Below are 26,057 nucleotides of genomic sequence, written 5' to 3' on the forward strand. Positions count from 1 at the left end.
CCAGCCTAGGCAACAGAGAAAGACTCTGTCCCCCACCACCCCCTCCCCCACAAAAAAAAAAAGAAAAAGAAAGAGAAAAAATTTCTTGAATAAATACGTTAGTTGAACAACCATAAATAGATTTACAGGATCAGTTAATGTCCACCAAGTTGGGAGACCCCAGTGGCAGGAGTTCCTAGTCCTTAGTATATGATTTGAGTGAAGATAAAAATGACACACCTAACAAAATGTTTCATGAAATAATCTAAAATTTCTTGTCTTCATTGCTTACAATGACAAACCCAATCTAATCAGATAAAACTTGATAAAGATAATGCCTAAAGCCCTGTTTTTGGGTATAAAAAGGTATAAATAAGCATAAATATAGGATGGAATTATTAGTAAATGTTTTGAAAAAAGATGAAAGGATTAGGAATTTAGGTGATAGCCTACTCAGTGTGATCCAACAGTATGAAGTAATTCCAACCTCCTTTCTTGCATATTTTTAAACTCTCCACAAAAACTAAGGAGATGATCCCAATTATTATCTTCATTACATTAATTGAGTTTATCATCAATATCATGGAGGTGATGATTTGATGATTATATTTTACTATGTGCTAAAAACACATCTATTAAACGCTTTTTATAATTTTAAGGAATATTATCAGAGGAGAGCAATGAGGGTAGTGGAATTCTTCACTTGAGTATCAGGGAGTTGGTGAAGGAAGCAATATAATTATGCAGAAGAGAGCTCTTGGCATGAGCCATGATTTCAAGAGGGGGGAAATAGGACCAATGAGATAAGTTAGCAGGAAGCATATTTTGGCTCAATGTAGGGGAGAATTTTGTACTAATTCTAACACTTAGACCTGAATGTTCTGCCTTGGGAGGCAAGCAAGTGTTCATTTGGCTACTAAACAGAACAGAGATTCATGTGTCAGATGAGGGAGTTGAACCAAATGACCTTCTATATCACTTCTTATGGTAAGATTCTTTGACATTTTGTGTGCAATAACAAGATATGTCTCTGTACAGGCTTTCCCAGCTATATTCTTTAGGGAAGTTGAGGATAGGAGAACAAGCACTGTAAATGATTACACATCCTGAAATGAGAAGCAAGGGCATTTGTAGATATGTGCATAGTTGTTGGGATAAAGTGCCTGTGTCCAAATTCCAGCCAGGACTGACATGCACTATCTGGTGACCTTCGATTAGTTATTTAACATTTCTGTACCTCAGTTTCCATATATAAAATGGGGATAGTATAGTATCTACCTAATAGCTTTGTTGTGACAATTGAGTGAGTTAATTCACTCAAGCTTTTAGAATGGTACCTGGCTCATAGTGATTGTTAGATATTGTTATTATGATTGCAACTATAACTACAATTAACTATTCATAAAACCATCATAGAGTGAGATGGTATATTTTATTCTGCATTACATGTAGGCTTAGGTATTCTTTGGAAGAAAATATTATAGAGAAAGCACGTATATTGGACACAGGCAGGCTCTTTATGGGCTGCGTGGTCTTGGACAAGTCATTTGACCTCTGCTTTTCTTAATAACTGTCTAGTTATAGGACTTCTGTAAAATTAAATGAGTAATAGTAATAAATGTCAACGTAGTAATAAATGTCAGCTCCCATGGAAAGATAGTATTTCAATTTCCGTCCTTTTTCAAATATCTTGTTGTCTAGAGACCACAGCAGTGCAGGGTTAATGTAGCAACTTAGGGCTTGAAGTGACCTGAGACATCTTCTAGCAATTGCCGCTCATGTAGGAGATGGGAGTGTAGGTTCCTTAAGAGTTAAGAGACTTGCAGAAAGCGACGTAGCTTCTTCCTATGAGGGAGAAGAGCTATATGGAGGAGAGAAAGTGGAAGATAAGTAAACATTCAGAGTACTTTTTTGGGAAAAAGTGTGCAGCTTCGGAGCTCTTGTGCACGTTTTGCTGAGTGCGTGTTTCTGAATGATTGTGTGTGTGTCTGTATGTGAGTACATATGTATATATGTATATATTCATGTGTATGAATCAGAGTGTGTAAGTGAGCATGTATTTGTGGGTGACTGATTATCTTGCTAGTGTGACTTTCTATGACACTTGCTGGCATGCAGGCCTTGGGTTGCTAATTCCTTTTCATTATCTAACTCAGTATACCAAGAAAAGAAAGAAAACAGTGAAAAAGAGAATGCATTCTGCTGTTAGCTGGATGCTGACTTTCTTCTTCTGGGTCTGGCACTTTGATTCCTCATGACTTCAACTTTTTCCTAAGGAAAATAAATGTGCTAGCCTCTTACCTTCACCACCCCACTTTAATGAAGCTTCCTTCAATTACATCTATAAAACCCAAGGTTTAATTTTATTTGATGACACTGTCTTCTGCAGACACTTTGTTTTGCTTTTGAAGACACTAAGATAGCCTGGAGCTCTGTGCCAATTTCCTCACTGGTACTGGCCACTGGGGAAGCTGCCTGAGACAAGGGCATCTGAAGTGACAGGAGCCTTGAACTCAGTTCATCAGCTGGAGACCCAGAGCAGTATCAAAACTGAGTTTTTGATTATGCATATTTATCCTGATTTCTACAGCTTCCTCATGCTCACCCATCTCCCTCAGATATTCTACAACACTGAACTGTATTATTCTGAGTTGTACTTAACACTTAGGAAATTTTAACATTTGCTTCATTAACATAACTGTTAGAAGGTGCAGGGGGTGATGAGGTTTAAAAAATGAGTTTAAGATCAAGAGTGTGTACTTTTTGTTTTTCTTTATGGAGTTACATTGCTGATATTATTTATGTTCAAATTATTGACTACTTTGCTGCTTGTATAAAAAATGGCTGCTAATTTTTATGTATTTTGATCTCTGTTTTTACGGATGATGCAAGAAAATGATCAAGAGCTCAATTACACTTATTGGCATAATATTTGTTAATTGTGACACTGTAGAAAAGAAACATTCCTTTGAGGATCAAGCAGAGCCATCTCCTGTCCTCATGTATAGAATAGTACTCCCATTAGGGAATGCTGCCAATGAAAAATTTATATATAACTTTGTGTAAAGGAAGTTTTTAAGCTCTGAAATGGAGTGGCATATAGTTGCCTGTAATCTCTAGGCTGATATTTTACTGTGGCATTTCTTCGCTTCTCATTCTAATAAAATATTAACATGGTAAGCTAATTGTTTCTGTCAGAAACAAGTTGTTCAGCATAATAACCCTTTTCTTCATTTGATAACGTATCATTTAACTTGGTAGAACTGTCTGAAAATTATGTCATATTCTTTCCCATTTTCATCTCTACTCTTGCTTTCTGGTTGCCCATTCTAGCAATACAAGACCAAGTCAAGCTACAAGGCTTTTGCAGCAATCCCTACAAACACATTGCTTTTGGAACAGAAGGTCAGTGTTGGCTCAAAAACAGTGAATTTTACATTTTTAATGTGATTTTTAAAATGTTTTCTAAAATTTCTGTTGGGAAGATTTCTGTTTTAAAGTTCTGCCTTTACTAAAATAACATTCCATTCTTAGTTTAGGATGATGTGGTGAAAACATTTTGGTGAATATAATTGGAGATATTATTGGTTTATTGCTAGAGACTGAATATGAGCCTAGGGATGTTTAGTCCACTGTCAAGCTACTTTGGGAAACTTGATTCAGATTTGGATAGATCTCCGTTCTTTGGAATTTTAAATAATTATTATATTCAAAAACTTCCATATCAAGAACTTTCATATCTGTCCATATTGATCAAAAGAATTGAGGTGAAATGGGATTGTTTGTGAACAGTTGGCCACCTTGGGTTGTTGACTGGTAAAGACTTGGTGACTAACAGTGGCTTCCACCATTGTACTATACTGATACTCAGATATTATAGCTGAGTATTCAACTTAGCCTCATAGATTCCATTGTGGACTAAACCTCTTCACCCACCCATTCTTGCCAGCCAGTGGTCCTACTTTCATGAACAGAAGGGAAGACTGAGATGACTCTCAGTGACCCAACTGCTTTCACATGACTCCAAGAGATTTTTGCTTTGCTATTAAGGGTCATTAATAATAAAATTATAGGCTGTTACATAAGTAGGTAAATTAAATTGAAGCCTCTTGTTTAATAAATATGTTACGCATGTTTAAATGAAAGCCAAGTAGAGGATTGATATCAGAATCAAAGTGAAATGAGTTACCAAGTCTATGAAATTATTCATTTCATATATTATTTTTATGATTATGTATTTAGTCAATTTATTTCTCAATGCACTAAGTCCATTTTTTTCTGTGTAATTATGGTGTTTCAAAGACTATCATTTATCAAAACGTTGTTTGCCAACCAGGTGGTATTATGATCACTGGTTTATAAATCTACATTCTTATTCTTTTAGCATGATCTGAAGAGTAAAACCTTTGTATGATCTCTTATCTAATAAGTAGGAATTGTTAGTGGAACAAGTAGTGTATAGGTGGACATTAATTCCACATTATACACAGGTAGTGTCCAATCCATGTTCTGTATATGTAAGTGCTTTGAACTGGAGGTTCACTAGGCTGCAGGAAAATCTGCAGCTTTTTCCCTAGCATCTCTCCTGAATTTCTACCCCTTATTGTCTGTTAAAAGATGAGATGGGACTAAAATACGGATTTCAGGAGACTTCTGGAGGTTGTGGAAAGGGACACTTTTCCATTGCCCCTTATTCCACACTCTGGGGCCATAATGGTGGGAGATGGTGGCAGAGTTCCCACACCACAGACTCTCTGCTTATTTTGGATGGCGATTTCTGGAACCTGGTCACAAGTGTGTGCTTTCACAGATGTGGGAGAATCACTCTCCATCAGCAGTGAGGCAAAGAGGAGATGAGGAGCCTGTTTCATGCTCGTCTTTCCCTCATACTTGTCTCGCCTCATCTAGGCACATTCTTCTGGAACTATGTTCTGCTACTATGTAAATTTCCTATTTAGAAAAATGAAAGTTAATTCTTTCTGAAAGTCTTTTGTGAGATAAGACTAGATGTCAGTACTGTTTCCAGAATCTCTGTCTGTTAGGATTGTTTCCAGAATTCTCTTCCAATTAACTAAATTATTGAGCTTATAATTTATTCATTAGTCAGTGAAAATGAAGAGTCATTAGTTTAATTTCCAATTTTATTACAAACCCATTTCATAAATGTGTATGGTGATATTGATGTGTATTTAGCCTATTATACAAGTTCATGTGCAAAAGGTTTTGTGTTTTTAATTTTAAATAAAACATTCTGTAGGAAAATTATTATGTCTATTGTTCATACAAAAAATATAAACATGATATCTAAATTTAAAATAGTGTTATTCTAGAGGGTGCTGCATTATTGTATAAGGGCTAGTGTAGGTTGTTGTCTCTTGGCTAGTATAATTTTTGGACCATAAATATTTAACTTATTCAAAGGTCTCAGATGTTAAGTGAATTTTTTTTTCTTTAGGTCCTTTAAATTATTCCACATACTTTCTGCTGGCTTTCCCATGTTATGTGTTCCTCAATAAGAAATTTTACTTTGTAAGAATTTTAAAATATCAAAGCCTTATCTAAAGGTTTTATGAGTTACCTCCATTTTCAATAGTATTTTTTGAATGATATTGTATTGTTCCTTTCAGTGTTATAGTTTTAAAAAATAAATCTGACAATTTAATCATTTATACTCATCTGTTTATACAATAGACTTTATCTTAATGCCACTGAAATAAAAGGGATTTATTTCTGAATTGAGTGGGAAAATTAGGACTATAATCTTGAGGAACTCTTCTATTTATGGAAGAATAAAAATCTTGCAATATTTTAAATCACAGAAGGTTTTCTGAGATCCCTTTGATATCACACAGAACACCACAATTCAGGGGTAGGTAAGGTTGTAGACTCATTATAATACTTGGGTAGGGTCCATGCTGTGGAATGCCTTGAAGCTGGAGCTAACAAAAATAATTCATGTCTTAGCTATTTCAACAATTATCTCTCCAATTGGATTAAACCCATGATGGGTATCTTATGCCACATTCTTTTCTACAGCATATAGTATAATTAATGAGAAACCAGATTTACTTTTTAAAAAATAATGCTATTTTTAAAAGCAAGATTTTTTCCTAATTGAAATACCGGCATCCCTTGCAATGAGATGTTAAGCTCTCGTTGAATTACTGGATTGGTTTCAGTTTTAATCAACCCTGGATGAAGCCCATCATTTTTAAAAGAGTACACTTTGTTGGCAGGGAACATGAGGTTTCTGGTACTTCTGTTCTGTAATTTATTGTCTGCATCAAAATTTAAATTTATATCTTATTCCATATTCTATCATTTTTCCCCTGTGAACCTTTAAGAAGGAAGCATTTATAGCTTAAGTCTTAAATAAGGATTTCTAGGGAGAGATAAATGTAAGGTATGATTTTTATTGTGTTGGCTTCATCAGGGTCCTTGGCTTAACCTCCTGCCAATAATCATCTTCTCCAAGAATGACATGAGGATGAAATGCAAATGATTATAAAGTAATCAGATTACATTGTGACTGTCCATAGACTTTATTACAATATGTTCAACAATATACTAAGGTCTGTAGATAAAATAAGTTGATATGGACTTTATTTTTAGTCTTTGTATTAATCTGTTTTCACTCTGCTGATAAAGATATAACTGAGACCGGAAGAAAAAGAGGTTTAATTGGACTTACAGTTCCACATGGCTGAGGAGGCCTCAGAATCAAAGGCACTTCTTACATGGTGGTGGTAAGAGAAAATGAGGAAGAAGCAAAAGCAGAAACCCCTGATAAACCCATCAGATTTCCTGAGACTTACTCATTATCATGAGAATGGCATGGGAAAGACTGGCACCCATGATTCAGTTACCTCCCTCTGGGTCCCTCCCACAACACATGGGAATTCTGGGAGATACAATTCAAATTGAGATTTGGGAGGGGTCACAGCCAAACCATATCAGTCTTGTGATATATCTTGATGTGTACTGTCTTTTTTAGAGAAAGTTAAAGGTCTCGCTTTCATTGACTAGTTTTTCTTCTTATCATCTGAGTCTGATAGCAATAGGTAAAAAGTTAAACTGTTTGACACATATTAATATTCCAAGTAAATAGATTATTATTTTTATCATGTAGTTGTTAAAGGAGGAGAGAATGAAGAAATATTTCCATAAAATCAAAGAATATGCATCTTTATTGTCTTACCAATGATTAATATTTTTCCATGAAAATATAAATTTTTTCCTTGAAAGTAATTTAAACTCTCTGTTTACTTCCTCATAAGTATTTCTGAGGATAAAATTAGGGCTGGGGCTAGGTACAATGTTCCTAATAAATGGCATTACTCTTTGCCATTTTCACGATACATTTGATTCATAAGAAGTGTGTACTTAAGAGAAGAATTCTGGAGCAGCTCAGTTTTATAAGTAGCAAAAAATAATTACAGGTTTAATTCTTTAAATGGAAAGTTATAGGAAAAACATTTTTTTTTGGTGCAAGGAATATAAAATTAGTTATTTTAACAACTAATAAAAACGACGGCATAAAAAGAAAAAGGCAAAATTTTGATATATCCTGTCAACTGTCAAGTCTATTTATTCTAAGTTGCCTCTTTGATTTTTTTGTTTCATTTTTTGAGATGGAGTCTTGCTATGTTGCCCAGGCTAGATTTGAAATTCTAGTCTCAAGCAAACCTCTTGCCTCAGCGTCTTGAGTAGCTGGGACTACAGGTACACAACACCACACCCAGCTAAGTTGCCTATTTAATTTTTTAAAGCATGAGTTGCTAAACTCCAATCTTATTAAAGATATTTCCTTAGGTGAGAATATTTTAAAATCTCTTTATGTCTTGGCAGGGCGTGATGGCTCATGCCTGTAATCCCAGCACTTTAGGAGGCCGAGGAGGGTGGATCACCTGAGGTCAGAAATTCGAGACCAGCCTGGCCAACATGGTGAAACCCTGTTTCTACTGATAATACAAAAAAAATTTAACTGGGTATGGTGGCAGATGCCTGTAATCCCAGCGACTCCAGGGGCTGAGGAAGGAGAATCACTTGAACCTGAGAGGTGGAGGTTGCAGTGAGCCGAGATCGCGCCACTGCACTCCAGCCTGGGTGACAGAGTGAGACTCAGTCTCAAAAAAAAAAAAAAAAAATCTTTATGTCTTAAAAATTTAACAAAACCTTATTGCTAATTTAGCACATGACCTATATTAGAGAAACATTGCTTAATTTAGATTCTAGTGCAAGAGGCAAATGTGTTCCCAATTTCTTTAATAATGGAGAAGAGTCCAGGACTCAAATCTATGGTAAATGGTTCTCGGGTAGTTGTCTACTATGTGCATAATTTAAAAAAATTATCAAATTGTATTTAATTATGCATATTTATTGCTTTCTTTCTCTATCTTGAACTTCTTGAAGAGGCAGATATACTATATTCTTTACTAAATGTTCATTAAATAAATAAGTTTAGTTTGGGGCCAGATAGGTCTCTAAAATTTCCAATTTTATTCCACAGGCTCTTAAGGCAAATTTTTGCTCATAAGCATAAAAAAAATAAAGTAGACTACTGTATGCCAATCAAAACAAAAATAGCAAAGGATCTTTCTTTAGGACAGAATAAGCCTCATCAATTCTACTTCCATGGAAAAGCTTATAGAACAGCCTTCTGCTGGAGGGGAAGTAAGCTGGCACTTTTGAAGATTAGACAATACAATCACAAAGGCTGCCGTATTGAATACTCTAGTGTATCAGACATTGAGCTAAGTGCGCTTTCATCTTCACAACTCTGTGAAGAATTTGATGCTCAAAGAAGCCAAGTAAATTCCCTAAAGCATCAAGGTTACTAAGTTGCTAAATTGGACCTCAGAGGAGCTCTGATTGGCTCTCAGCCTTCCCTGTTCCGTACTGTACAGTGACATCAGCTAGCTACAGTGAATTATTGAGTAAGGGATGCTCATATGGGATCCCTGCCTACAACACTTGTTTTCATTACTTGCTAAAATATATTTATATCTTCATTAAATGAGAGCAAGAAGAGTATTTTGTTTTTATGTGGAAAAATTAAAAGAAAATGGGAAATAATGTGGCTCTGAGATGACTTGAGAGAGTGATGGATTACAAACCAGCTCAATTCCTTGAGCTACTGAAAGAGATGAGGCAAATTACAGTGAAGGAGGTGCTTCTGGAAATAAAGAACACCCTTCTGACATCCTTAATTGAATGCAAAAAAGTATAGATTCCCCTACCATTGAGCTTTGCTGGAATGGGTTTGAAACTGGTTGGAATGGTTTGCAAAAACTCCCTTCTCTGTGGGAGGAACAAACATTTAACTTTCCAAAGCTCTTGGGAGTAAAATCACCAACTAGAGTTCTTCAGTTCTTGATATTTTTAAACCAATCATGTAAAAATATTTTACTGGCAAATATTCCCAGATCTTTAAAGAAACCCTACTTTATATACCTGCAAGCTCCTTTGGTTTGCAGTGTACTTTTTTTCCTTTTCTTCAGTGGTGTATGTTATTCAGACCTGAATCCCCAACTAGACAATCAAAGTGAGATTTATTTTTCTAACAATATCTACTATCCTACACATGGTTTTATATTAGTCCGGTAAGTATTTTGTAGTCCTTAGGGGATTTATTCTACCAAATAGCAGGTCATATTAACAAAGTATAGGAGAATTTAGGCTATACATAATTTTGGGGGATTGATTTGATCGTTACTAAAATCTAATAACTCAGGAATGAAATTTTTGAAATTCAATCAAATAGATAGTCTAAGTATAACAAAAAGTTTACAGATTCTGTTAGATCATTCTTCCTTTGGAGGCAGTTTACTTTCCAACTCCCTACTTTTAGAACTTCATCCTATATTTTAAGGGAGCAAATTAGACTAACTCCATATATTTGACTAAAAAGTGTTTGCAGTTTCATCAGGGACACTCATAACTGGGAATACCCATTACAGTTTATTGGCATACTTTTACACAAGGACTTTGATTTGCAATGCTTTTTCATAGTTCTTGGCTCCTAATTTTAATGTAGTGCTAAGTTCAGAAATTCTTTTCTGCTATGAGATTTATTTGGTATCTTTTCAAAAGCTGGGCCCCAAAGTTGGCACTTCTGAACAAACTACCAACACTTGTAATGAGAGTATTTCTGATTATTTGTATTAGTTAAGAATTCTTTAAGATGAATGAGCTCAAAGAATATTCCATTTATGCCTCAATTTCTGTAGTCCAATTTGGTAGAAAATGTATATTTTTAATAACAATAATTTATTAGATAATATTTTAAGAGACTTTTACCCGAAATGAATAAATCTAGAGAAACAATATCTTCCTGCTGGCTAGCTTGCCAAAAAGCAATCTCTGGTCAGAATTCTTACTAATGGAGATTTAAAGTATGCTTTTAAGAGAAAATTTTGGACGATAGAAAAAGAAGCTACTTTTTATGGTTGCTAGAAGTGGTGTATATCACAATGATACATCTGACAAGTAACGCACAGTCAATTAAAAAAATCAATTCTAGTAAATTTCAAGACTATTTAAGTTCAAAATAAGCCCCCCATCCAATTTTTAAAAATACAGCCTGAGTATTTTGTGCCATTTCAGAATTTCAGCATTACTGACCTAACACCTGTTATCTTCCATAGTTTTCCAAGGGACCTGAGTAGATAGTTCTGTCATTCTCTGAGTGAATTTCAATATCACAAGTAACCTAATAAAAGTTATGTTTGCCAGAGTAAGTTTCCACAGACTAATTAAAATATTAGTCTTATTTGGTTTGGTTTGAAAAAGGAAATAATCGCATTGCACTAGCATTGATTATATGCTCAAATCTTTGATGGTAAACAAATTTAACTGTAATATAGAGAAAGATATAGTTTATTTGTCAATTAAATTACTCAAAGAGTTTAAATCACTTCTCTAGAGCATTTTACCAGGGAGTATTTAAATCATATTACTTCTATGATTCATTTATTAATTTAACTTAACTTCATTTATTCATTGGTTTACCCAGTGATTCATCATAAAGACCTTCACTAAGCACCTATCATATTCTCTATCCTGGGCCTACAAAGATAAATATCATATTTTCTGTAGTCTAATAGGACAAATAGTCCAGTAGGGTAAAGATATAGTTTAAAAAGTAATTATGATGCAATATGCTTAAGATATGTGCAAAGTGATATGGTGCCCCAAACAGGGAATGGCTGACTTTGCCTGGTGTGAGGCCAAGAAAGATGTTATAAAGGAGTTTGATTTGGATCTTCAGGATGAATAGGAATTCTGTAAGTGAACTGAGAGTGGATCTAGGGAGAGTTAATCACATGTAGTTCAAAAGATCACCAAAAGTTCAAAGAACTGAAGCAGTTCTTTGTGGTTAAAGAGCAGCCTTTGAGTGAGGAGCATATGAAAGGCACTGTTGGAATGGTGAGCAAGGGCCAGAACAAAATCCTGTCCTGAGGAGCTGGCTCTTAATCCTGGTCTTTAATTTCTGACATTTTTTGTTTCCATAATTTTCTCTATAGTAGAGGTCGCATGTGGTGTAAGGCCTAAAAGTAAGGCCCAATATTGTGTGCTACCTTGACATCTGCTAGAATTGAGAGAGCCTCAAATGGCCTAATTGCAAGTTCCCCTCTTCACTCTGCTCCTGCAGATAAGGTCCTCTAGCCAAACAACCCTCCTTATCCAACTGACCAGGTGGAATTCCTGAGTATGCCTTAGTAATAGGTTCCAGTTCAAACAAGCCAATCATATCCTTTGGTGGAACCAGGGGTGCATTACTCTCTGGATACCCACAACCCCTGGTTGTTCCTTATTGTGACCTCCATGTGGCCCTGCATGTTTTGTGGCATCCCCCTTCCCTGGACTGTGAGTATATGTGACTAACAAACTGTTGTGGATTTTATCTGTACAGTGTCAACAGTTATGTAACCTTCTATCCCTGTAACACAAGGAAAGGAACCTCTCCCCCTTTAACAAGGTGAACAGGAGGTGATTGAAACACCATGCCAGGAAAATATTAAACCATCTGAACACCAGTGAAGAGTTATTTTTATGAAATTTTCAGTTCCTGCCAATCATTTCTCATGATTAATCATAATTTTAAAGAATGATGAAAGAAAGCACAAAATAGATTTTTGTTATGGTAAGAAAGAAGCAATATTGAATGTTTTTATTAGATTATCATAACCAACCTTCCAAATTTTGTTATTTAATACAGAGAAGTGGATTTTGAAAACAAAATTTCCAGACAATATTTACCCTTATGAGCTATTAAAACATGGGATGGTAAAATTTTATCTTTTAAAGTCACTTTTCTGAATTCTTAGGGTTATATCCCATGCCAAAATGGCAGTTCTAGCATCTGGACCTGGTACCTCTTGGTCAAGGCTAATAGTTCTGGATGGAGATCCCTGGTTGTTAGAAGGAGGAAAAGAGATTTTGATGAGCAATGGATTCCATGGTTTCACAGGTGGCATAACACCTTCTGTCAGGATATGTCTACCTCAGAATGGGAATAAAGAAATGAGAAATAGGTGGCAAATCTAAATAAGAGGAGAAGGGAACCTGTAATTCTAAAAAGTTATATAATACATGACAATAGAGAACTGAATCTTTGATTTTTTCTGTTTACAAATCTACCAGAACATATATATTCAAGCGACGATATTTCTCTTGAAAATAACTGTCTTGTGCCTACAATTGCTTATTGCATTTTTGGTAACCTCTTTTGTAACTGTCTTCAGAACCCATGGCATATATTTTTTGTGTAACCTTTCTAGCTATAGATTTTCAAACTTTGAAAGCATATTGAAACTAGATTGCTTGAAAAACTTCCTGTTGTAAAATACCTATAATCGATGATCAATTTAAAAATGGATTAAAAAACAAGTCAAGCCACATGAAATTGCCATCTTGGCAAGTATTTTTCAGTTGAATACTGACAATTTTGTGTGTGTTCAACCCAGTATAAAGCTGAGCTCATAAAAAAAAGTGGGGGAAATCCCCAAGGGTCAAATACTAAAAGCAGGCTGAAATTCAGAACGTTTATCATGGTGCTGATGCTCTGGTAAGAGAGAACTGGAGTTGCATCTCCGTTAAGAATCAAGATTTTTGAATTGTTACACTCTCAGTTGCAAGAAGTATGATAAAAAAAAAAAATTTTCAAAGGGAAATGACAACCCCGCTTTTTAATTTTTATTGTTTTAGAGACAGTGTCTTACTCTGTTGCCCAGGCTAGAGTGCAGTGGTGTGATCAGGGCTCACTGCAGTCTTGAACTCCTGGGCTCATCCAGCTTCCTGCCTCAGTCTTTCAAGTTTCTGAAACTACAGGTGTATGCCAACACATTCAGCTAATTTTTAAAATTTTTTATAGAGATGGGATCTCACTGTGTTGTCCAGGCTGGTCTTGAACTCCTGGGCTCAAGTGATCCTTCTGCCTCAGCCTCCCAAAGTGCTAGGATTACAGGTGTAAGCCACTGTGAATGGCCATAAGATTTTCTTATATCAATCTAGGCTTAGGGTAGGAAAAAATAACCTTTAGTCACGAGCCTACCCTGAGACAGGTTTGAGACTGAATTTATACAATCTCTGTGATAAAGAAAATATGTGCTGAAAATCGAAATTTGAATTAATTTAAAATTAGCTTGCCTTATTCTGCTTCTGCAAATAGAGAAGTAGCTTGTATTGGACCAACTGTTTTACAGATAACAATGATAAACTCTGGATAAGAATATAAAAAACTATCTGAAGGTACTGAAGCATGACCAAGGCAGGTAGAAACTGCAGTAGAGTCAACGCTTGCAAGAAAAATATGGCACTAGGTTGGTTTCTAGATTTTATAGTTTTTCACCTTACGGGTAGTCCCTTATCTGGTCACAATGAAGTAGTGAAAATTCAGCAACAACCCAGCAGACGTATTAGATGAGGAAACAGAGAAGAGTGTAAGGTCATACAGAAACCAGAAAGTAGGGGAGAATCTGGAAAAGAGAGTGCCAAAAGGATCCCTAAATGTTGTAGATAAACTCTGCCCAAATCTCTGGATAACTATTGAATGTGCCCATTAGGCCCAGCTGAGGAGAAAACAATGGAATAGAGATTTTGGCTAGTTCCCATCATTAGAGAGACAGAGAGTCTGAAGCCAAATTGACTGCATAAGCAAAAAGAACAAAGCTGGAGGCATCACACTCCCTGACTTCAAACTATACTACAAGGCCACAGTAAACAAAGCAGCATGATACTGGTACCAAAAGAGATATATAGACCAATGGAACAGAACAGAGGCCTCAGAAATAATGCCACACATCTGCAACCATCTGATCTTCGACAAACCTGACAAAAACAAGCAATGGGGAAAGAGTTCCCTATTTAATAAATGATGTTGAGAAAACTGGCTAACCATATGCAGAAAACTGAAACTGGACCCCTTCCTTACACCTTATACAAAAATTTACTCAAGATGGATTAAACACTTAAACTTAAGACCTAAAAGAAAAATGTCTTCATGTTAAAGAATAGCTCATCAAATACTGTAAATATTTTTTTCTTGGAATATTAATACATACAAGGCTTTCTTTGAAGATACTTTTCTACTCCAGTTGTATGACTAGAAGCCTCATATAAGAACTATTTCATTTGTCACTAGGCACTAGATGAACCAGCCAAGACTGAAAGTGTCTCCAAGGACAACACATTAGAACCACCAGTGGAGGTAATAACTTCAGATTACCCCTGCTTTTGGTATGCAATTCCAAAACTTATTGCTAACCCAGTACCTGGTTTCAATTCTTCCAGCTCTATTTTCCTGCACAGCTCAGGCAGCAAACTGAAGAGCTCTGTGCTACCATTGATAAGGTCTTACAGGATTCCTTGTCTATGGTAATGCTTTAGACTAGAATGTGCAATTCAAACATTTGCTTTGCTTCTCTTCATTTTCCTCTACTTTAGTATGATGCCTCACAGGCTTGTCCTTTTCTTTCCTTTTCTCTTCTTCTTTCCTTCCTTTCTTTTTTTTTCAGCATTCTTCTGATTCTCCTTCAAGGTCCCCAAAGACATTGTTGGGTTCTGACACAGTCAAAGTATGTATGTATTTAATATAATTTATGGAACCATAAGATTTATTAGATCAATGATTTCCAAACTGCAAGTCAAGGTCCAATAGTGAATTGAGAAATAAATTTAGTGAATAGCAATCAGTCTTTTTTGTAGAATTTTAAAGATAGTAAATATTAGACTTGATTTCAAGTAATGTATAGGTTTTGTTGACATTTGTTTACATGTGCACATATAATGCAAGGTAAGTGTATACAGGGTTGCAAAGTAAAATCTATTTCTGTGGGTCCAGTTCAAAACAGTTTGAAAGCCAACATATTAGGCTATGTTTTTTTTTTACATTGATGTTTAGAATGTATAATGTGTGGCTCATTCTCACTCAAATTATAGATTCAATATTATTTATGGAATTTATAGCCACTTAAAAATAGAGAAGTAAAAAATGAAGTAGACTAAAGTAAAATTAGTATTAAGAGCTTTAACGGAAGTATTATTTCTAGAGTTTCTTTTTCTTTTTGCTGATTGAATCTATTTCATTATTCTTTGACTCAAAGGGAAATAAAACTGGATATTTTAGATTGTTAGAGTACTACTAAACTATTAATTGTTGTAATTGAGTATGTATTTCCTTCTTATAAAATAGTTATTTTCATTTGTTAGGATAAAATAATACATTTCTCCAAATTATTTTTTTCAAACACTTAAGCTCTACTCATCCAAATTTCAAAATGCGTATGATTTTTCCTTTATTGATAATTGTTAGTTATTAGCTACTGATTTTTTTGGTCAGCCTTATTTATTTATTTCCTTGGAATTAGTATACTTTTTTCCTGTCCTTTCTTAAAATATGGGACACTGTGTGTCTAAAGTAATTTTCAAATGTACAGAACTACACATAACTAGAAGAGCAATCCTAATTTTCAATTGGAATATTATCAATAAATATCCATTAGTAATGACATATAAAACCCAGTAATCAATTATTGTCATATTAATTATATTTTAGCAGAGGACTCACAGGTGGATAATTGTAATTTCTGTATTTGAAGTCTATTTTGTTGTATATGCTTTAAGCCTTTTAATCTAAAACTTTGATTTGTCAAATATATTATATCAATTTTAAAATATATTTTTTCATATTTCATTCATTGAACATGTAAAAGACCTGTATTATATTAAATATAATGAGAATAGGATTTAAGAAGTTGTATATGAATAGTAATCTATATTACTGGTTTCTTTAACAAATACTTAAGGCTTACGGTGTTAAAAAACCCAGTATTTTAGGCCACTACATTTAAGGCAATTTTTCATTCAACAGGTATTTATTAAGCACCTACCATAAGTCTGGTGCAGCAAGGCACTAGGAACATAAGCAAGGCTGAGTAACCTAAGGTATAAGCTTTGAATGTAGTGATCAAGGGGTAGAATTCAAGCTGAGACCCAAAGATGGAAAAGAACCAGCCACAGAAATTTTGATCAGGAATAATAGCTTTCAGGTAGAGAAACAGGCATGTGTAAATTTCCTGAAGCATGAAAGAGCTTAGTGTGTATGAAAATAAAGAAGTTAGCCAATGAGCTTACTGTCCACTGAGCTAGGGATGAACAGTGCAAATGATGTTGAGAAACTGGGTTAAGCACTGTGATTTAAACCCTTATTTGCCATGGCATGAAGCTTGGATTCCAAAGAAAATGGGGAGACATAGAACCATGGTGGGAATAATATGAAACCGTAGAAGATGAAAAATATGGCTGCTGTGAGGAGGCTGCTGCAGTCAGGGAAACAGTCAGTGATGGTGGTCTGGATAGGGTGGGTTCAGAAGAGCTAGAGAAGCATGACGGTTTGAGGCTTGCCAAGAGTTTGGGTGCGGGTAGTGAAGGAGAGAGAATACTGCAGGTCTCTGTTTTGAGGATAGACAACAGTGAAGGAAGAGCTGTATAGTGGCAGGCAGAGGGTTATGTCAATTTTAGACAAGGATGAGTTTGAAGTGCTTATCAAGAAAGCTTAAACCTGTGTGTTTGAAGCTGATCAGAGATATTTGAGGGTCATTGGCACATAGACACCGTGAGCGTCCTGTACAGAGTTCCAAGGAACATAACATCACAGGTCTGACAAAGGAGGTGGAGATGAGCAAATGAGAATGAAAAGGCTTTTATGGTGAGGAAAATCAGAGCAATGTGATATCATGGAAGCTATAAGAAGAGAGTGTTTGCGAATATAATTGTGTTGATTGCGGCCAAGGGTCAGAGAAAGATAAGTCTAAAGAAGTGTTTATTAGATTTGACTTGTATATTTTGAAACCATATTGCTGGTGCTTATGTGTTGGCATTCATTCTCGTTTTTGAGTTTTTAGAAGCTTTATCAGCATATATAATCATTTCTTAACTTAAGGTTTTTCTCTTGAGTATTAAAATAGTGACTTTATATTTATAATTTCTAATTCTTGTTTTCCTAGATGTATCTTTTACTGCTACTTTCCTTTTTTTCATACCCTTTTGTCTAATTTTCTCAGAGCAGCATATTTCTGCATATAATTTTTACATTCAATTAGATTCTATTTACCAGGGACTTTAAGCCATTTATAATTATTGCAATTCTTGTTATGTTAGGGTGAATTTTTGCTATCTTATTTCATGTTTTCTATTTAAAATGTTTTTATTTCTCTTGTTTTTTTCTGCTTTCCTTAGGCAATTTTGATATTTACTAGTTTGAACATTTTGAAAATTTTACTTTATACCTTGTTACTTCTGGTAGTTACATATACATTATTAAAGACAATTATTATGCTTAATTTTGTATCAATTTTAAAACATGTAAATGCCTTTTCCCACAATTTTGTAAGTACTATAGCACTTTTCACTTTCTACTTGTTTTTAATCAACCTGTATATACAAACACAAGCACATACATATACAATTTATTAGTATTGTTTTGAACTTTATGTCTGAACACTTCTTTATCTTTCCTTTGTTTGGATACTTATTTCTGATTTAGATCCTTATTTTGCACACATTCAAAGCTTTTTCCTGGATTTATTGTTTTTCCTGTTGGAATCTTGCTTCAAGTTGTATAAAGCAAGATCTTTTTGTGTAGATTTTGTGAACTCTGTTCATGATAACATCTTTATTTTGTCTTTTCATTTAAATTATAGTTTTGCTGCGAATAAAATTGTAGGTACTCTTTCTTCAACATTTTCCCCCAGGCTTCTTTGTCTTCAACAACATACTTACGAAGTATTTTGTCAGCATGATACTTGGTCCTCTGCTATAGAGTGATCATTTACAGAATTGCTCTATAGTTTTTAAAACTTTATGTATGATCTTACAGATATTTTTTATGGTGTATTTAGGTATGCATTTTTTTCTTACATATTTTGATTGTTACCTTCTATGACCTTTCACATGAAGTGTTCAATCTTTTCTTCCCCTTACATTTTCGGTAACTTTTGATCATTATTTTTACAAATATTTATTCCCACATGGGACTCTCACAATACTGATTTTGTCACTTTTGATTCTGTATTTCATGTCTCTTACTCTTCATATTTTTCTATTTATTATTTTCTGATTCCTTCAAGAGGAATCCTTGATCTAATATTCCAGTTCAAGATTTTGGTCAGTATCTATTCTTTCCTTCAATTCCTGTATTACATTCTTTGTTGAAGCTAACATAGCTTTTTCTTCTAAATCAGATTTATTGAGGTAATATTTAATCACTGTAAACTCCATCCTTTTAGTTTACAGCTCTGAGTTTTGACAAAAGAATCCAATCATATAATTACTACCACATTCCAAACAAAACATTTCCATCAACTGAAAAAGTTCCTTGTGCTCCTTTTTAGTATATACTTTCCTCCAATCCAAGTCCTGAGAAACCACTTATCTTTTCATGTGTTCTTATGCTTTTGCCTTTTCAAGAATATCATATAAATGTAATTATATAGTCTGTAGTCACTTTAGCCTCTACTTAGTAGAAGGCATTTGAAATTCATCCATATTATTGCATGGATCAGTAGCTCTTTTTTTTTTAATTGCTGATTAGTAGTCCACTGTGTGGATGTTCCATCCTTTATTTATCTGTTCACCAGTTAATAGATGGCTGGGTTATTTCTAATTCGGAGCTATTACTAATAAAGCTGCCAAGAACATTTGTAAACAAGACTTTGTATGGATATATGATTTCACTTATCTTGGGTAAATACTTAGGAGTGGAATAGAGGAAACATTGTTTTCTTTTATAGTTTTTAAGTTTTTCAGATGTCTTATTATGTTTCCATGGAAACTCAAATTTCCCTGAGCATGTCAGCTAAGTTGGGTGTATATATGCCTGGTGCCTGGGGTGGCAGGTCCTGAAGCCCAAGTCCTAGCACTTGCCAGTTCTGGTGAGGTTTATTTATTTATTCTTTAAGAGCAGGAGGAGCATGTGCTTCAGAAGGGAGAAGCGCCATAGTATCAACCAGTTCCCACTTGCCACTTCCTCTCCACCCTGGTGACCCTGACTCTATTTCTGCCTCCCTGCACCTCTGCTTATGGTATATTCTTCTCTTCCAATAGCTGTCCCAGTCGTCATTGCTGAGAAGGGATCAAGGGAAAGATTCATCAGAAGCTAGCCAGTTGTTGAAACCTATAGTTAACTATTTTCTCCCCAAAGGCTGAAGGACCACTTTGATATTGTCTTCATCGTTACCTCTTTACAACCCTCAGATTTTAGCCCCTCAGTTCACCCCATTGATCTCCTTATCTCTGTTGTTTAAATGTGTTGTGGCATGAGAAAGCAGGTGTAGAATACGTAAAAACAGAACAAAACAAAACAACTATTTTGAAATGTTTGGCCGTTAAAAGGAAAAGGAAATTAGGTTGGTAGTGAGGTCAAGAAAGAACTTTTTGTTTTGTGAAGCTGAAAATGACAAGATCAAATTTGCATACTGTGGCATTGGTCTTAGTAGAGAAAGAAGTACTAATTCTAGAGAAGAAAGGGAAATAAAGGTCTGAATATTTGTGCCCCACCCACCCACTCAGAATTCATATGTTGAAATATATGAAGGTATTAGGAGGTGGGGCCATTAGAAAATGATTGGGTTGTGAGGATGGGGACCTTATGAATGGGATAAGTTCCCTTACAAAACAGTCCAGAGAGAAACCTCTTACCCTTTCCACCATGTAAAGACATGCAAGATGGCACCATCTATGAACCAGAAGTGGTCCCTCACCAGACACCAAATCTGCTAGTGCCTGGATTTTAGACCTCCCAGCCTCCAGAACTGTGGAAAATAAATTTCTGTTGTTTATAAGCCACCCAGTCAATAATATTTTGTTATAGCGGCCCAAATGTGCTAAGACCATTTGCTAAGAAGCTGGAAATGTCCTCCATTGTAACAGGATGGAAAATAAAGGACATGACAGCTACAGATGCAAGAATGTTTGTAGTTTGGTGGAAGAGAAATAATTTTATAACCAATATCTTTAGTTATTTCATAACTAATACCTTTCAATGAAGTAAAATGTAAGATCATTAACCAAGATTAAGGGGAGAAGTTGTGATGGGGATGAATTTGAAAAAGTTAAAAAAAGTTTATATATTCTACTTTCAATTCCTTTTCTCCAGTTTCCTCTTAGATCCCCTTTTTTTATGTCACCAAAACCCCTTTTTCCAAGGTTCCTGAAGTCCTCTGCATTGCAATAAACCCAGTCCTGAGTTGAGATGACAGCAACAGAACTTGAGATAGTTGCTCACACCCTCCTCTTTGATATATTTTCCTCTAGAGTATTTTAGAACTCCGTAGTCTCTCTGTTTTTCCTCTATCTCCCTTTTTTATTATCATTTCTTAGTCTCCTTTGCTGGTTCATCTTCTTCTTCCCAAACTGTTAATGTTGGGATGCTCTAGTCATGAGTCCTCAAACTTCTCATTCCTCTCTATATTCATTCCTTTGGTGATCTCACCCTGTTTTATGTTATAAAAACTAACTACATATATGCCGACAACTCTATTTCTAGTCCAGGATTCTTTCTCAAACTGCAGACTTCCAAATACCTATCTTCATTTCCATTTATACTTCTAACAAATGTCTTATCCTCAATATGCATACAAATAAAATCTAGATTTTCTCCCACAAAATGATTCCATATGTTGCCTTCTCATCTCTGTTGGTAGAATTTCGCTCTTTCATTTGCTCAAGGCCGAAAACTTTGGTGTCATGTTTTATTCTTCTCTTTCTCTCACATTTCACATCTCTTCTGCTAGAAATCCTATTTCTATAGCTTCAGAATATGTCGACTATGATTATGCCATGGCTTCTGCACTACTGAGCCACTGTGTTTTGTTGGATAGTACAAGAGTTTTGTCCCTATACCCCTGACTCACAATAGTTTATTCTTAACACATCAAACGCAGAAAACCTTTTAAAGCTTAGGTCAGATCATGACCCTCCTCTATTTAAAACCAGAAGTGCTTACGCATTTCAAACCTCAGAATATAAGCAAAGTCCTCACAAGGTCCTGTATGGTCTGGTGCCCCAATACTTCTGTGACTGGCTTTCTTCCAACTCTCTCCTTTACTCACTCCATCCCTGGTAGCCTCCTTGTTGTGCCTTGGATATGTCAAGCATGCCCCTGTCTTAGCACATTTAGTTTCTTTTCAAATCAGTTATATCAGTGATCATTTTATAGTTTCTAGCATACTGTGAAAAATTTTCAGCTTAACCTTTATCTCCAAAATCATGGTTAAGTATGGTTGTTTTCAGTCTGGTTCTGAAAAGACACATTTCTTAATCTCTGTGGGTCTTTTTTGGTTGTTTATTATTTCTGCTCATCCTCATTCACATTGTCTTGCCTTTTTGTGTATCTGAATCTGATTGTATGCTAGATATCCTATTTGAAAATTTCTTAATAGAAATGGAGACTTCAGATGATATTACCTTTTATAGAAAGTCTTTTCTTTGTTTCTGTCAGACATTGGGAGCACTAGCCAGAAAAAACTACCTGAATTTAATTTAAGTTTCTGAGATTATTTTTTCTAGACAGTCATCTTCAGATGATTTGATATCAGGCTGAAGACCATGTGTCTTCTGGGTCACTCTTACTCCTAGGGGCTCAATCTGTTTTTGGCAAGTCCTGGTTGACTTTCTCTCTCTATACCTGTGAGATATCAAAAGTTTGGGTTAGCTTCTCAAGCAACTCATCATTATTTGCAAACATCCCCAGGGCAAAAGCAGTTCTGAAATGCTGGGCTTCTCTCTTCAGGTTCCCATCCTCTTTTGATTTTGCCCAGTAACTATTCACTTTCTTTTTAGTTCATTGATGTTTTTGATTAAATATTTTTCAATATATTGGTCAGATTTTTTATTGTCCTTTATGGAAAGATTACTTCCAGTTTTCTATCCAACATTCTCAGAGGAGAAAATCCACCTTAGAAACTTTGCACTTGTTCCCTCTTGTTGGAATGCTCTTTATCTAGAATACTACCTACTCAACTCCCTTACTCCTTCAAGTCTTTGAAGTCTCCTTCAAATGTCACCTTCTCAACATTGATCATCTAATTTAAAATTGTAGACTCCCAGCACTCTTGACCTCCTTAACATCTAGGTGTTCCAGAAAAATACAAGGTATTTTGTAGAAGCAAATAAATTTTTATCTGGAAGCGTATATTACCCTGGGCTTCAAATTATTTCTACTCTTTTTCATTGCATTTATTCCTTTCTAACATATAATTCACGTATTTATGATTTCATTGCTTATTTCTTTTCTTCCAGAATGTGAACTCCTCAATGGCAGGACATCTTTGTCTCTTCTGTTCACCAATAAGTCCCAGGGGTGTAGAACAGTGACTGGCACACACAGTAGATACACAAATATGTATTGAGTGGATGAATGGATGAATGAATCAAATAGCTATTTCATCTCAGAAAGTGGGCCTACAAAAGAAAAATTTCGGGCAGTACTGAATGCACATTTGAAATTGATAATTGTTAATTTAAAATAAAATTAATTAGTTTGTTTGAAAGAGTTTCTCCAACAATGTTTTGCTTCTCAGATACAAGTATGGAGAAAAATGGATGGTAAGGTCAATTTAGGGTTGAGGTCTTTTTTTTTTTTTTTTTTTTTGTAAGTGAACTGGTCACAGGAAGAGAGGAAGATTAAAAAAAGTGAAAGTATTAAAATGGCTTATAATATTAAATAATATGAGATAAGAGGTAAAGCCAGAATAAAGCTGATGAAGGTCAGTGATTTGGAAGTCCCAATGATGTGGATGTTGCACTAGTAGCACTAGAGAAATGAAGATGGTGGATAGGAGGTAGAGTTCTGAGTGTGGGACATTTGTAATTGAAATTTCTGACAGTTTCTGTTTTACTGGTGAAGGTAAAGTTAAGGAGCTTTCTGGGAGTGAATGATTGAATTGGAGTAGATGAGAACATCTTTGTAATTGAGGAGCTCAAAAAATGGAAAAGACAGAGATTTCTACATGAATTTTGAAATAGGCAAAAATTATGGAAGAAACATGAGGAAAGAACTATTATGATCCATGAGTTGACATCATCAATAAATAAGGAGAAATTACCAGAAAGCTGATAAAGTCAGTGAGAAGAATAATCAAGTGATATCATTTTATAAAATAATTTTCTAAAAAATGATATTGTATAGAGAGAGCAATGTTTAGAAAGTCTCAATTGAGAAGAAGGTGAACACATTCCAGAAGTTGAGTCTATTATTATTTACTTTATTATTTCAGATGTATAATTGTTTTTATTTTCATACAGACTCCTACAACTCTTCCAAGAGCAGCTGGTCGAGAAACCAAATATGTAAGTACCTTTATAATTATACACACTGCTTTTCAAATGGGTGCCTGTGTATGCTTTAGAGAGAACACTATTATACAGTAATTTAAATAGAATTAATTGTTTTTTTATAAGTTGAAGGGTAGGATGATATGATTGCAGATACAGAAAATCAGGTTATGTCAGAGATAAAACATCAGGTAAGCTTATCAAATAAATTTGTCCTTAAGTGAGGTCTAGTTGGATTAGTTTAGCTAAATAGAACTGCCACACCTGCTTCCTGATTTTCTAGTTATCAACACTTAGATGACATTTTCATTTTTGTAATGGTTTATTATGCTTATAGAATAGTCAACTCATATACTTGAAACATTAAGATTTGTCCATTTCTAATGGGATTGCCAGTTTAATCAACTTTGACTCTTTTGTTGCTTTCCTTCATTTAAATTATTAACAAATAAACCAATTTCCACTTATGAGCAAAAGTGGATAGATATAGTGGATAGATATAGACTCACATTCAATTCAAATAATTATGAGTAGCTGGCTCTGAGTGTGTTAGACATAAACCTGCATAGCCTCATCCCAAGGCCAGTGTTCACTCACCTAATAATTGTATTTTCCATCATGTGGTCAACTTCTGCTTCTGACCAAACGTATTCTAGTAGAAACAAGATTATCTCCTTAGTAAGTGTTTAGTGTTAAGTCTAAAACAAATTAGTAAACTATTCCATTTAAGTTACACATTTGTAGTTTTTATCATAATTATGAAGAGTAAATAGTTATTAAATGTGTATTTTGTGTCATATCATCATTGTAATTTTTACAGTTCTGCCTTCATTTGAATCTCCCCAAGGCAAGTAATAAACTGGGTGAAATTACTAAATTTTATCACATCCAGAAAATTATGTTTAGAGGATGTGGGTAGGAACACTGCTTAGAGCATTTCCTGGAAGTTTTGCTGTTATTTTTCATTATTATTGGAAGCCATTTGGAGTAATACTTAAAAAGAATGAAGGCATTAGTAGACTAGACCCGAGTTTAAAATCACAGTGTTGCTTTTAGATAACTGTCTGATTCTGGGAAAATTACTCACCATTTTACCTTTCTGTGCCTTTGTTTCTTCATCTATGAAATGGGGATACTAATAATTTTCTTATGTAAGATTTGTATTAGCTAATCTATGAAAAGCCCTTAATGGAATTCTGATACAAAGGAATTGCTCAATAACTAAAAGCTTTTCCTTTCCTTTCCCTTTTTCCTTTATTCATATCTCCTTTCTTCTCTTCCTCTTATCTATCTTTGGAAGACTAGAAATATCTTGATTTAATTGAGTTCCTTGAGTCGTTAGTGGGTACAAGAAAAGAAAGTTTCCTAAAGGTGTTTCTATACTTTTTGTGACTAATACATTTTACAAGAGCCAGACCCCCCAAAAAAGTTGCTGCAATTTTTGCTCTCTCTCCTTCTTCTTTTATCTACTCTTGCCTTTCAGCAAAATGTCTCTAATTAGATTAGTTTTCAATAGGTTCAAAGGGTTGATGTCATTATCCATTCCTCTCTGGGAGGGGTTAATTTGGTAGCAATTGAAATGATTCTGGAGCGGCTTCTTCAATCTCCATAGTTAGAAATTATTTCAAAGTATTATTTACTTTCAATCAACTATCAGATTTAATTAAAGTAGGTTAACTTTCATGCCCTTAATGTTGTGAGAGCCTTTAAGTCATTCAAAGCTAAGAATGAACCATCAAACAGGTTCAGTATAGGCTAGAACAAATATAAACTCTAATGCAGATAAGATTCTTGACCTTAATTAAAATTCGTTTCCTATGTAAGAAGCTTTGTTTTCACTTTATTTTACAACATGACATTTGAATTGTTGTTTGTGGCCACTAAAACACGTCCACGTCTTTTGGAAGACCATAAAGGATCATTTTACAATGAAAGGTCAAAACTAGTTTGGCGCCAACTCTCGGGTTAGTCATATTTGTACATATTTGGCTGTAGTTATTACAATTTACTAAGTGATGTCTGATACATTTAGTTTGAGGAGAAAAGATTAAATTTTAGAGCAGAAGTTCACTTTAGCTATAAGCTTTGGTCTTAAATGAACAAGAGCTTATCTTGTATGTCTTAAATACAATATGTTCTGTTTTTTTAAAAGAATGATACTGTAATATTTTCTTCTAAAAATTCTAATATTCATATTGACTGAGCTATGGGATGTCTCACTTTAAGTATGAGTTTACTAGCTA

At 34.7% G+C, this 26,057-nt stretch overlaps 1 protein-coding gene and 1 long non-coding RNA gene across 19 annotated transcripts in view; one reads left to right on the forward strand and one right to left on the reverse strand.

The window, feature by feature from the left end:
* Positions 1 to 26,057, forward strand: part of MLIP (muscular LMNA interacting protein) — a 247,311-nt gene that overhangs the window by 126,774 nt on the left and 94,480 nt on the right. For 9 of the 18 annotated variants that reach the window (XM_047419509.1, NM_138569.3, XM_024446581.2 and 6 more), the window contains 5 exons: positions 3,313 to 3,384; positions 14,624 to 14,689; positions 14,773 to 14,856; positions 14,997 to 15,056; positions 23,785 to 23,829. In XM_047419509.1, coding sequence (XP_047275465.1) covers positions 3,313 to 3,384; positions 14,624 to 14,689; positions 14,773 to 14,856; positions 14,997 to 15,056; positions 23,785 to 23,829 — 327 coding nt within the window. The remainder of the gene's footprint in view (positions 1 to 3,312; positions 3,385 to 14,623; positions 14,690 to 14,772; positions 14,857 to 14,996; positions 15,057 to 23,784; positions 23,830 to 26,057) is intronic. The other 9 variants (XM_024446580.2, XM_047419511.1, XM_017011470.2 and 6 more) reach the window with 4 other exon arrangements.
* Positions 1,763 to 24,986, reverse strand: LOC105375097 (uncharacterized). The gene is made up of 3 exons (XR_001744172.2): positions 24,902 to 24,986; positions 24,412 to 24,466; positions 1,763 to 1,840 (listed from the first exon to the last, which is right to left on the reverse strand). It is a non-coding gene; the product is annotated as an uncharacterized LOC105375097 (long non-coding RNA).

The sequence above is a fragment of the Homo sapiens genome, chromosome 6, assembly GCF_000001405.40.
Source record: "Homo sapiens chromosome 6, GRCh38.p14 Primary Assembly".
In the NCBI taxonomy this organism is placed as follows: domain Eukaryota; kingdom Metazoa; phylum Chordata; class Mammalia; order Primates; family Hominidae; genus Homo; species Homo sapiens.